General features: G+C 37.5%; 1 protein-coding gene across 10 annotated transcripts in view, besides 2 other annotated features; it reads right to left on the reverse strand.

Moving 5' to 3' along the window:
- MAPK10 (mitogen-activated protein kinase 10) overlaps positions 1-12,163 on the reverse strand; it is a 583,670-nt gene that overhangs the window by 62,324 nt on the left and 509,183 nt on the right. The gene's annotated exons all lie outside the window — the stretch shown is intronic.
- Positions 2,815-3,385: an enhancer, noted in NCBI's record as "NANOG-H3K27ac-H3K4me1 hESC enhancer chr4:86996696-86997266 (GRCh37/hg19 assembly coordinates)". NCBI's record gives its function as "activates a minimal SCP1, AML or CMV promoter by ChIP-STARR-seq in primed H9 embryonic stem cells {active_cell/tissue: H9 hESC(primed)}" and the evidence as "EXISTENCE:reporter gene assay evidence [ECO:0000049][PMID:30033119]".
- Positions 3,386-3,955: an enhancer, noted in NCBI's record as "NANOG-H3K27ac-H3K4me1 hESC enhancer chr4:86997267-86997836 (GRCh37/hg19 assembly coordinates)". NCBI's record gives its function as "activates a minimal SCP1, AML or CMV promoter by ChIP-STARR-seq in primed H9 embryonic stem cells {active_cell/tissue: H9 hESC(primed)}" and the evidence as "EXISTENCE:reporter gene assay evidence [ECO:0000049][PMID:30033119]".

A 12,163-nucleotide genomic window follows, 5' to 3' on the forward strand; every position in this document is an offset into this window, starting at 1 on the left:
CCCAGGGATGAAGCCCACTTGATCATGGTGGATAAGCTTTTTGATGTGCTGCTGGATTCGGTTTGCCAGTATTTTATTGAGGATTTTTGCATCGATGTTCATCGAGGATATTGGTCTAAAATTCTCTTTTTTGGTTGTGTCTCTGCCCGGCTTTGGTATCAGAATGATGCTGGCCTCATAAAATGAGTTAGGGAGGATTCCCTCTTTTTCTATTGATTGGAATAGTTTCAGAAGGAATGGTACCAGTTCCTCCTTGTACCTCTGGTAGAATTCGGCTGTGAATCCATCTGGTCCTTGACTCTTTTTGGTTGGTAAACTATTGATTATTGCCACAATTTCAGCTCCTGTTATTGGTCTATTCAGAGATTCAACTTCTTCCTGGTTTAGTCTTGGGAGAGTGTATGTGTCGAGGAATTTATCCATTTCTTCTAGATTTTCTAGTTTATTTGCGTAGAGGTGTTTGTAGTATTCTCTGATGGTAGTTTGTATTTCTGTGGGATCGGTGGTGATATCCCCTTTATCATTTTTTATTGTGTCTATTTGGTTCTTCTCTCTTTTTTTCTTTATTAGTCTTGCTAGCGGTCTATCAATTTTGTTGATCCTTTCAAAAAACCAGCTCCTGGATTCACTGATCTTTTGAAGGGTTTTTTGTGTCTCTATTTCCTTCAGTTCTGCTCTGATTTTTGTTATTTCTTGCCTTCTGCTAGCTTTTGAATGTGTTTGCTCTTGCTTTTCTAGTTCTTTTAATTGTGATGTTAGGGTGTCAATTTTGGATCTTTCCTGCTTTCTCTTGTGGGCATTTAGTGCTATAAATTTCCCTCTACACACTGCTTTGAATGCATCCCAGAGATTCTGGTATGTTGTGTCTTTGTTCTCGTTGGTTTCAAAGAACATCTTTATTTCTGCCTTCATTTCGTTATGTACCCAGTAGTCATTCAGGAGCAGGTTGTTCAGTTTCCATGTAGTTGAGTGGTTTTGAGTGGGATTCTTAATCCTGAGTTCTAGTTTGATTGCACTGTGGTCTGAGAGATAGTTTGTTATAATTTCTGTTCTTTTACATTTGCTGAGGAGAGCTTTACTTCCAACTATGTGGTCAATTTTGGAATAGGTGTGGTGTGGTGCTGAAAAAAATGTATATTCTGTTGATTTGGGGTGGTGAGTTCTGTAGATGTCTATTAGGTCCGCTTGGTGCAGAGCTGAGTTCAATTCCTGGGTATCCTTGTTGACTTTCTGTCTCGTTGATCTGTCTAATGTTGACAGTGGGGTGTTAAAGTCTCCCATTATTAATGTGTGGGAGTCTAAGTCTCTTTGTAGGTCACTCAGGACTTGCTTTATGAATCTGGGTGCTCCTGTATTGGGTGCATATATATTTAGGATAGTTAGCTCTTCTTGTTGAATTGATCCCTTTACCATTATGTAATGACCTTCTTTGTCTCTTTTGATCTTTGTTGGCTTAAAGTCTGTTTTATCAGAGACTAGGATTGCAACCCCTGCCTTTTTTGTTTTCCATTGGCTTGGTAGATCTTCCTCCATCCTTTTATTTTGAGCCTATGTGTGTCTCTGCACGTGAGATGGGTTTCCTGAATACAGCACACTGATGGATCTTGACTCTTTATCCAATTTGCCAGTCTGTGTCTTTTAATTGGAGCATTTAGTCCATTTACATTTAAAGTTAATATTGTTATGTGTGAATTTGATTCTGTCATCATGATGTTAGCTGGTGATTTTGCTCGTTAGTTGATGCAGTTTCTTCCTAGTCTCGATGGTCTTTACATTTTGGCATGATTTTGCAGTGGCTGGTACTGGTTGTTCCTTTCCATGTTTAGCGCTTCCTTCAGGAGCTCTTTTAGGGCAGGCCTGGTGGTGACAAAATCTGTCAGCATTTGCTTGTCTGTAAAGTATTTTATTTCTCCTTCACTTATGAAGCTCAGTTTGGCCTGATATGAAATTCTGGGTTGAAAATTCTTTTCTTTAAGAATGTTGAATATTAGCCCCCACTCTCTTCTGGCTTGTAGGGTTTCTGCCGAGAGATCCGCTGTTAGTCTGATGGGCTTCCCTTTGAGGGTAACCCGACCTTTCTCTCTGGCTGCCCTTAACATTTTTTCCTTCATTTCAACTTTGGTGAATCTGACAATTATGTGTCTTGGAGTTGCTCTTCTCGAGGAGTATCTTTGTGGCGTTCTCTGTATTTCCTGAATCTGAACGTTGGCCTGCCTTGCTAGATTGGGGAAGTTCTCCTGGATAATATCCTGCAGAGTGTTTTCCAACTTGGTTCCATTCTCCTCATCACTTTCAGGTACACCAATCAGACCTAGATTTGGTCTTTTCATATAGTCCCATATTTCTTGGAGGCTTTGCTCATTTCTTTTTATTCTTTTTTCTCTAAACTTCCCTTCTCGCTTCATTTCATTCATTTCATCTTCCATCACTGATACCCTTTCTTCCAGTTGATCGCATCGGCTCCTGAGGCTTCTGCATTCCTCACATAGTTCTCGAGCCTTGGTTTTCAGCTCCATCAGCTCCTTTAAGCACTTCTCTGTATTGGTTATTCTAGTTATACATTCTTCTAAATTTTTTTCAAAGTTTTTAACTTCTTTGCCTTTGGTTTGAATGTCCTCCCGTAGCTCAGAGTAATTTGATCATCTGAAGCCTTCTTCTCTCAGCTCGTCAAAGTCATTCTCCATCCAGCTTTGTTCTGTTGCTGGTGAGGAACTGTGTTCCTTTGGAGGAGGAGAGATGCTCTGCGTTTTAGAGTTTCCAGTTTTTCTGTTCTGTTTTTTCCCCATCTTTGTGGTTTTATCTACTTTTGGTCTTTGATGATAGTGATGTACAGATGGGTTTTCAGTGTGGATGTCCTTTCTGTTTGTTAGTTTTCCTTCTAACAGACAGGACCCTCAGCTGCAGGTCTGTTGGAATACCCTGCTGTGTGAGGTGGCAGTGTGCCCCTGCTGGGGGATGCCTCCCAGTTAGACTTCTCGGGGGTCAGGGGTCAGGGACCCACTTGAGGAGGCAGTCTGCCCATTCTCAGATCTCCAGCTGCGTGCTGGGAGAACCACTGCTCTCTTCAAAGCTGTCAGACAGGGGCATTTAAGTCTGCAGAGGTTACTGCTGTCTTTTTGTTTGTCTGTGCCCTGCCCCCAGAGGTGGGGCCTACAGTGGCAGGCAGGCCTCCTTGAGCTGTGGTGGGCTCCACCCAGTTCGAGTTTCCAGGCTGCTTTGTTTACCTAAGCAAGCCTGGGCAATGGCGGGCGCCCCTCCCCCAGCCCTCCTGGGGCCTTGCAGTTTGATCTCAGACTGCTGTGCTAGCAATCAGCGAGATTCCGTGGGCGTAGGACCCTCCGAGCCAGGTGTGGGATATAGTCTCGTGGTGCGCTGCTTTTTAAGCCGGTCTGAAAAGTGCAATATTCGGGTGGGAGTGACCCGATTTTCCAGGTGCGTCTGTCACCCGTTTCTTTGACTCGGAAAGGGAACTCCCTGACCCCTTGTGCTTCCCAGGTGAGGCAATGCCTCGCCCTGCTTCGGCTCGCGCACGGTGCGCGCACCCACTGGCCTGCGCCCACTGTCTGGCACTCCCTAGTGAGATGCACCCGGTACCTCAGATGGAAATGCAGAAATCACCCATCTTCTGCGTCGCTCACGCTGGGAGCTGTAGACCGGAGCTGTTCCTATTCAGCCATCTTGGCTCCTCCCCATGATTTTTCTTTATAATAACAATTAACCTAACATAAACGAAGACTGGAACTCCTATCTCCTGTTTCCATGTTCAGTGCTTGTTTCAAGTATTCCAGTAAGAAAAAGTAAATTTGGAATTGATATGGTAAAAAATTGTTTTAATTTGGCCATAAAGTTAATGGTGTGTTTTGTCACAAGCAACTCCCTTAAAGAATGTTTCTGAAGCCCCTTCCTTAGTCTATCAGGCCAACATATTCCTGTAAAACAATTAATTTTATCAATATTTTATATAGAAAATAAGGTGATTTTTAAATGGGAAAACAGATTTCCACAAGGATTACATTTTTAAAGTACATAAAATATTAACTAGATTTTATGATTATGTATTAATTGTTAACATGGTAAATATGTTTTTAAAGAATGACCAAAACCATTTTTTGTAGAAGAATTTATTTGCTTTAGAATACCCATAAATTACCATTTTTATACCACATAGAGTAAGGATTTACAGATCTTAGCCCTGTGAGGTTATCAGAAAAGCAATAAGTATATTTTTTATATTTTTGATGTGCTGTTTCAGAAATTATCACCCTTAACATAAATTATGAAATGCATTGAATACAAATGGAAAAATGGCATTTAATAAGAATTATTTGACAGTAAATCACCTGATATAATTCTAAATTGACTACATAAAAGTAGAGTTATATTGTAAGAAGTTCAATTTTATAAGTAGGGCATGATGTCCAGATAATGTACAAATGTGATATTACTAAGGTATTCAATAAATAGTATTATAATAGAATAAAACAAAGTAAATATGAATAGTAAAAATGAGTATCTGAAATCCTAAGATTGAAAATTTTTCCAATTAATATTATCAATTAGCTAATAACTTATATTTCAAGCACTTCTCTTACTTTAGCTTCCTTTGTTAGGGAACTTTCTAAAACGATAATGCCTTGAACATAATATATGAAAAGGGCAATTTTTGGGCCTCTCATTTGCACAGGCCCCTTATAAGACTAATCCTTTTCTGCGTATTGTGGGTCAAAATTATGAACAGAATTTATGCCATCCATATTTAAGCCTTCAGAACTTACTAAGTGGAATCATAAGGAACTATTTAATGGCCTCATCCAATTGTTTCCTTTGAATGACTATATCTTCTGTTTATGTTTTCTTCTATCATTGATTGCTTTTTGTTACTATGAATGTGATTTCCAGAGCCAACACCTCATAGTTTCTGACTTGCTTTGTACTCTGCTCTAGGCCTTATATCCAATACTTTGTGCAAAAATTTTCTGACCTCTCTTTGCAATTTAAAGAACATCAGTGTTTATCTCTAAATTATTAGCTATGTTCTTAAAGACAATATTGCCTAATAGCAATGTCGTTATAGAATAGTTCCAGGAGAGGCTTTTATCATGCACGCCAAACAGCTGTTTAGGCACAATGTTGAGTAGGCTTGTGTGGCTTTATATTAGCTTCGTAGGAAAGAATTTTGTGATCAGTTAGTAATGTCTGCAACAGATGCACAATAAGGAAATTGAAGCACATATGCCATGTGTTAAGCATCATTATATTAAACTGTGGTTCCCAAACTTGAATATTCGTAACGCAGGGAACTTACAAAAATACATATCCCTCCTCCCTACTCATTGATCTACAAGATTCTGAGTCCACAGGTCTGGGCTGATATCATAAAAAACACCAGTGGTAATTGTAATCAAGGATGGGATTATATTTTGAGAAATACTAATGTAGAATATACTAAAAAGTCTCTTGTGAGTTACTAAGTCCAAATGTAAGAGTAAAATACTAACATGTTTCAGTTTTATGACACAAATTAGAATAGGATCAAATTCACCAAAAGATTATTCCACACCTGTTTGTTAACTTGGGGGTCATTCACCTGAGAATACTCAGAGAAAGAAAAGTGCTCATCTTTATTTCTTTGCCCCATGTAATTTTCCTGCAAAGGCCATGGGAAATTACAGTAAGTGGCACATGCAGTCTCCTAGTAGAGGGAGAAGAATTCTGCCCCTCATCATCTGTGGGAGAACTGAAATTGTATGCTGCTATTACCTGGGGAGTAGTACCCATGGAAAGTACTAATTATAGTTCTTTGTGATTAAATTTGTTGTTAAAAGAATTTTTTTCTAAAAACAAGTATAAGGAAATACATATGTATATATATATATACACACACACACACACACACACACAAACATATGATAGAGTTCTGAATCTAGATTTTCATGGTTATGTTTCTAATTGTTTTGTTTCTTTAAAAATGTTTTTAGGGGCCAGGGACAGAGGCTCATGCATGTAATCCTAGCACTTTGGGAGGCCAAGGCGGGAGGATCACCTGAGCCTGGGAGTTCAAGACCAGCCTGACCAACATAGAGAAACCCCGTCTCTACTAAAAATACAAAAGCAGCTGGGTGTGGTGGCACATGCCTGTAATCCCAGCTACTCAGGAGGCTGAGGCAAGAGAATCACCTGAACCCATGAGGCACAGGTTGCAGTAAGCAGAGGTAGCACCATTGCACTCCAGCCTGGGCAACGAGAGTGAAACTTTGTCCCCCACCCCCCCAAAAAAAGAAAAAGAAAAATGTTTTTAGGGTATTTTTTATTTGAAAATGTTCTTTTCCTCTCAAAAGTCCTTGTCAGATTCTGGTAACAGGAAATATGAATAAGTGACTTAATAAACAATTGTAACTAACATCTGTTTTAATTATAAATGAGCATAGGAAGAGGAATTATAAGCCAAAACACATCCAAAATATGAAGCTGGCAAATTAAGTAAAAGGCTATTTGTACACTGACACTAGCACATTGCTAGTGTTATAATAAGGGACATGGAATATCCAAAGGCTGTTTGAAGCATGCTATAAATCTATTCACTATTATAATCTATCTTTACTTACAAATAAAAAAATGGAGAGACATGTAACATATATATTAATATGTGTAGCAATGGCAGAATTTTCATTAAGCTGTTGAAGGTTAATCTTTGGGGTGTTCCATTTGCACAGGCCTCTTACAAGACTAATTTTTTACTGGTAATTTTATTTTTTGTAAATAGCACCCACCTTCAGTTGTATGATATTCTGACCTCAAAAATGCTGGATTTGATTCTCTCAGCCTGTGATAGTATTTTGAAAATGAGAAGAGGCCTTGGAGATCATGTAATTTGGCATCTCTATTTTAAAGCTGAAAAATATTAAAGTCCTTTTCAATTTGGTAAATAATTATAAACAAAGAAGCTGATACAAACAGCCTACACGAACAGAAATATAGAATCTACTTAAGAGAAATTTAAGGACACTGTACTCTGTTCTGTAAGACCAAATCGGGAAAGATACTTTCACTTCTGTATATAACACTACATACAATGGAAGTTAAGAAGAGGCAATCAAGCTTATATGAGGTAAGAAAACCTGCCACTTAAAGCATAGCTGAAAAAACTTTTGATATTTAAATTTAAAAAGGAAGATAGAAGTAATCCCTGCCCCCATGCTAGCATTTTGGTCTTTTGGTCTCTCTTACTCTGCAGCTATTATCACCTTCTTCTAGTATTCTGCACCTTTTAATGTAAGTATCATGGTAATAAGAATTTTTATCTGTTTTGTTTACTAATATATCTCTGGAGACAAAAAGTACCCAGTACATAGTAGGTACTCAAAAATATTTATGTTATAAATGAATGTCTATTTTATGTCCAGAGTTTTGTACACACATAATATAAAGAATGAAAAAAATAAAATATTCGAAGAAACGACAGCTGAGAAATTCCAGTAATTGAATAAAGGTTGGAATCTAGGAAACAATGACTCTCAAGGAAGATAAATAAAAAGAAATCCATGCCTAGTCTCGTAGTAGAGAAACAGCAGATAATCAAAGACCAAAAAAAAAAATCCCAAATGAAGGAAAAGAGCAGATTATCTCCTAAAATGACTATTACACTGACAACTCTTTATTTACCAGCAATACTGTAAACAAAAAGCAAGTAGAATAATATCTTTAAGATGCCAAAAATAAAATAAATTTCAATGTAAAATTCTATATCTAACTAAACTATATTTCAGGTAAGGGAACCTCAATTAAAAATAAGAGTTTTATTATCAAGGACTCCACTAAAGATACTTCCAAAATACGTACTTCGGGAGAAAAAAATAATAATCTCAAAATAAAAGGTCAAAATGTAAGAAGTAGTGGTAAGCCAAACAAATGGCAATCATAAGGGTGAATCTAAACAAACTACCTTTATGCAAAAAAATCATAATATTGTCAATTTATGAGCCTAAAAAGAAAACTAAAATACTGAACATCGATAGCATATTTAAGTCAGGACAACAACTATCTAAATGAACATGTGCCAAGATCCTTTTATGTTGAGAAGAAAGATTAAAAGAATCATCTTAATTAAAATAGCATTGTATACAAAATTGAGCTTTAAATACGACTCCAAAATAAATACCAATAGGGATCTTTTTTTAAAGTTAGTAAGCCAATTCTAAAATCTTAATAGAAGAGCAATGGTGCATTAAGAGTCAAGATAATTCTGAAGATGACAAAAATGAAAGGTATTTACCTTACCTAATATAAGTGCAGAGCATACATTTATATTCATTAAGAAAGGGTGTTCATGGTGCAGAGATAGACAAACAAACCAGTGGAACAGAATATACAGCCCAGGACTTAACATCCCCCTGCAAATATGTGGAAACTTATTAGAGAGACAGAATTATAGATCTGTGAAGAAAGAGTAAGTTAGTCAATAAATGAAACTGGAATAAAGTAGGTCCTTCTTTCACACATACACAAAAAAATCAATTCCATGTGGACTAATGGTTTAAATGTAAGAGACTAAACTTTAAAATATTTCCAGTAAAGTTATAGCACAATATAATGTTATAAAAGGATTCTTAAGACATAAAACATATAAATTATAGGAAAAGACAGATTGCCAACTTCTAAAACTATTATAAAATAAAATGGGAAAATAATCCAAATACAAGAAGATATTTGCAACACATAAAACTCACAAAAATTAGGTGCCAAATTATATAAGGAATGTCTACTAATCAACAGAAAAAAAAAGCACAATAGAAAAAAATGTGTTCATTCTTTGTTTATAAAAAAGATATTTTACCAAGGGAAAATAATAGTGGCCAATGAACACAGGAAAAGATCCTTAGCCTCCCTTGTAGACAAGGAAATGTAAATTAAACCTCCAGTGAAATAGTATTTTATATCCAAGGGATTGGTAACAAATTTAAAAATAAATATGACAATGGCAAAAGTTGATGAGGATGTGGAGCAGACAGCTACATACTACTCTAGAAATCAATTTGATGTTACACAGCAAAGTTTAAAATGTGTATGCCTATGACCCCTGGCATTGTTATTAAGAAAACCTTGCACATGTGCTCTTATAAGCATATATTTATAGTACCATGGTTTATAAAAGAAAAAAAAAAACAGTAAAATCCGTATATATTCCAAAGTCTACTTATAGGATAATGGGTTAGTTATAGATACTCATAGACTGAAATACTATTCAGCAATGAAAATGAGTTAACTATGTCCAGTCCATGAACAGGAATAAATCTAAAAAATATAATGTTAATTTTTTAAAAAGTGAGTCACAAGATAACGATGACAGTATGGTATGTAAAATAAATAAAACTAAACCATAGATTGCTTAAGGATAAATATGCAGGTAGTAAAAACATAAGGAAAGTCACAGAGATAGTAAAAAGAAATATTTAGAACTGTGGCTAACTCTGTGTGGAAAAGGAAGGTTGTGGTAGGTGGAGCACATAAAAATATTTGAAAGTATTGGTAATGGTCTATTTTTTAACCTGAGTGGTAGCATATGTGTGTCTATTTATTAATCTTCTTCAAAAGCTATGCATTTCATATTAACTCACTTGTTTAATATAAAATATTTTATAATTTCTTAAGTAAAAATGTCAGCTATGATAAAATTCATTACATCTCCCCCTCCTTCCAAATTATCCCAACAGTTAAATGTTGATTCATTTGTAGAGCATTAAAAACACATTTGATTGAATAAAATTCAATTAACATATATGTAGGAGTTCAGTCAGGGTGGCGGGAAAAGTTGTAAGAAAAAGTTATAGGGAAAGACTCAAACCTTCTTGGAAGGCCAGGAGGTTTTGCAAAAGCTTCGAAGGAGAAATGGCTGAAGGCAGCCAAATTCTGTTATCCAGAACCTGAAGGCAAAGGGTAGATAACAAGGGAATGTAAAGGAACTTATCTAGATAAGTTGGTTTACTTATGTCTCCAGAAACCAACCTTTGATCATTCCTGCACAGGACTGCTCTCTACTCAGGGGGTTGGCAAAGTTAATTACCCACAAATTGTGTTTGCTCCAATCCTTTGTCATTAAATCTGTACTAAATAAATGCAAGTGTCACAGGCTTATGGGGGCTGCACTCTGGGTTGCACTGCACTTTCATTGGCAGTGCTAAGGGGTGCAGTCCATCTAGCCATGCTGTCAGGCAAAATACCTGTGTCAGAGTACTTTTGTCATCCATCACTCAGCCAGAGTCTGCGGGACAGACTTGGCACATATACTTAAAATACCTACTAAAAACAATGTGTTAAACCTTTTTAGGCCCAAAAGATAAAAGATATAATATCTTTTTAACATTTTAAGTTTTGTTCTTGAGTTAGTTCATATATTAAGAAGACGTGTCTGGGGAGGCAGAGCAGGATGGCAAAATAGAAGGCTCCACCAATCATCCCCCCTGAAAGGACCCCAATTTAACAACTACCTACACCAAAAAGCACCTTCATAAGGACCAAAAATCAGATGACCACTCACAGTATCTGGTTTTAATTCCACATTGCTGAAAGAAGCACTGAAGAGGCAGGAGAAACTGTCTTTAATTGCCAGCGCCACCCCTTCCCCATCCTCCAGCAACAATTCCGTGTGCTGGGGAGAGGGAGAGCATAGCATTTGTGAGGAAATGAACTCAGTGCTGCCCTTGTTATAGCAGAAAGTAAAAACAAACCAAATTCAGCTGACACCTGCCCACGGAAGGAGCATTTAAACCAGCCCTGGCCAGAGGGGAATCGCCAATCCCAGCAGTCAGAACTTGAGATCCCACAAGCCTTACCACTGCAGGCTAAACTGCTCTGAGGCTGAGAATAAACTTGAAAGGCAGGTCACTGCCTTTCTAGGTCACTAGGACTGCAACTCCTAGGAAAGTCCTAGTCCTGAACTGGGCCCAGAGTCAATGGACTTTTGGGGCATGTGACCTACTGAGATACCAGCCAGGGCAGCTAAGGGGGTGCTGGCATCACCCCTCCTCTACCCCCATGGTGCATAGCTCATGGCTCCAAAAGAGACCTCTTCCATCCACATGAGGAGAGGAAAGGAAAGAGTGAAAAGAACTTTGTCTTGCATTTTGGATATCAGCTCAACCACAGTAGGCTAGGGCACCAGTCAGAGTTGTGAGGCCTCCCTTCCAGGCCCCAGTTCCCAGATGATATTTCTAGACACACCCTGGGACAGAAGGGAACCCATGGCCTTAAACAGAAAGACCCAGTCATATCAGGATTCATCACCTGCTAACTGAAGAGTCCTTGGTCCCTGAATAACCAGCAGCATACCCAGGTACTATGCTGAGGGCCTTGGGTGAAACTCTGAGACTTGCTGGCCTCAGGTGAGACTCAGCACATTCCCAGTTGTGGTGACTATGGGGCGAGACAAAAAAGCAGAGGGAAAGTAAAGGGGACTTTGTCTTGTACCTTAGGTACCAGCTTGGCCACAGTGTGGGTAGAGTGCCAAGCAGGCTCTTGAGTTACCAATTTCAAGATTTGGCTCTTGGACCGCCTTTCTGGGCCACTCAACTTGGAAAAGAAGAAGTCAAGTAACTCTTGTTTGCAGATGATATGATGTTATGCTTGCAAAAGCAAAGACTCCATCAAAAAACTATTCAAATTGATAAATTCAGTAAAGTTGCAGGATTCAAAATCAACATACAAAAATCAGTAGCATTTCTATATGACAGCAGTGAACAATCTGAAGAAGAAATCAAAAGTGTAATCCCATTTATAATATCTACAAATAAAATAAAATACCTAAGAAGTAACTTAAGCAAACAAGTGAAAGATCTCTACAATAAAAACTATAAAACACTGATAAAAAAATTGAATAGGAAACAAAAAATTGAAAGATATTACATATTCATTGATTGGAAAAACCAATATTGTTAAAATGTCCATACTACCCAAAGCAATCTACAGATTCAATGCAGTCCCTATCAAAATACGAATGGTGTTCTTCACAGATAGAAAACACAATCCTGAAGTTTATATGGAACCACAAAAGACCCAGAACAGCCAAAGCTATCCTAAGCAAAAAGAACAAAATTGGAGGAAATCACATTACCTGACTTCAAATTATACTACAGAACTATAGTAACCAAACAGCATGATACTGGCATAA

Source organism: Homo sapiens, chromosome 4 (genome assembly GCF_000001405.40).
Source record: "Homo sapiens chromosome 4, GRCh38.p14 Primary Assembly".
NCBI classification, from domain to species: domain Eukaryota; kingdom Metazoa; phylum Chordata; class Mammalia; order Primates; family Hominidae; genus Homo; species Homo sapiens.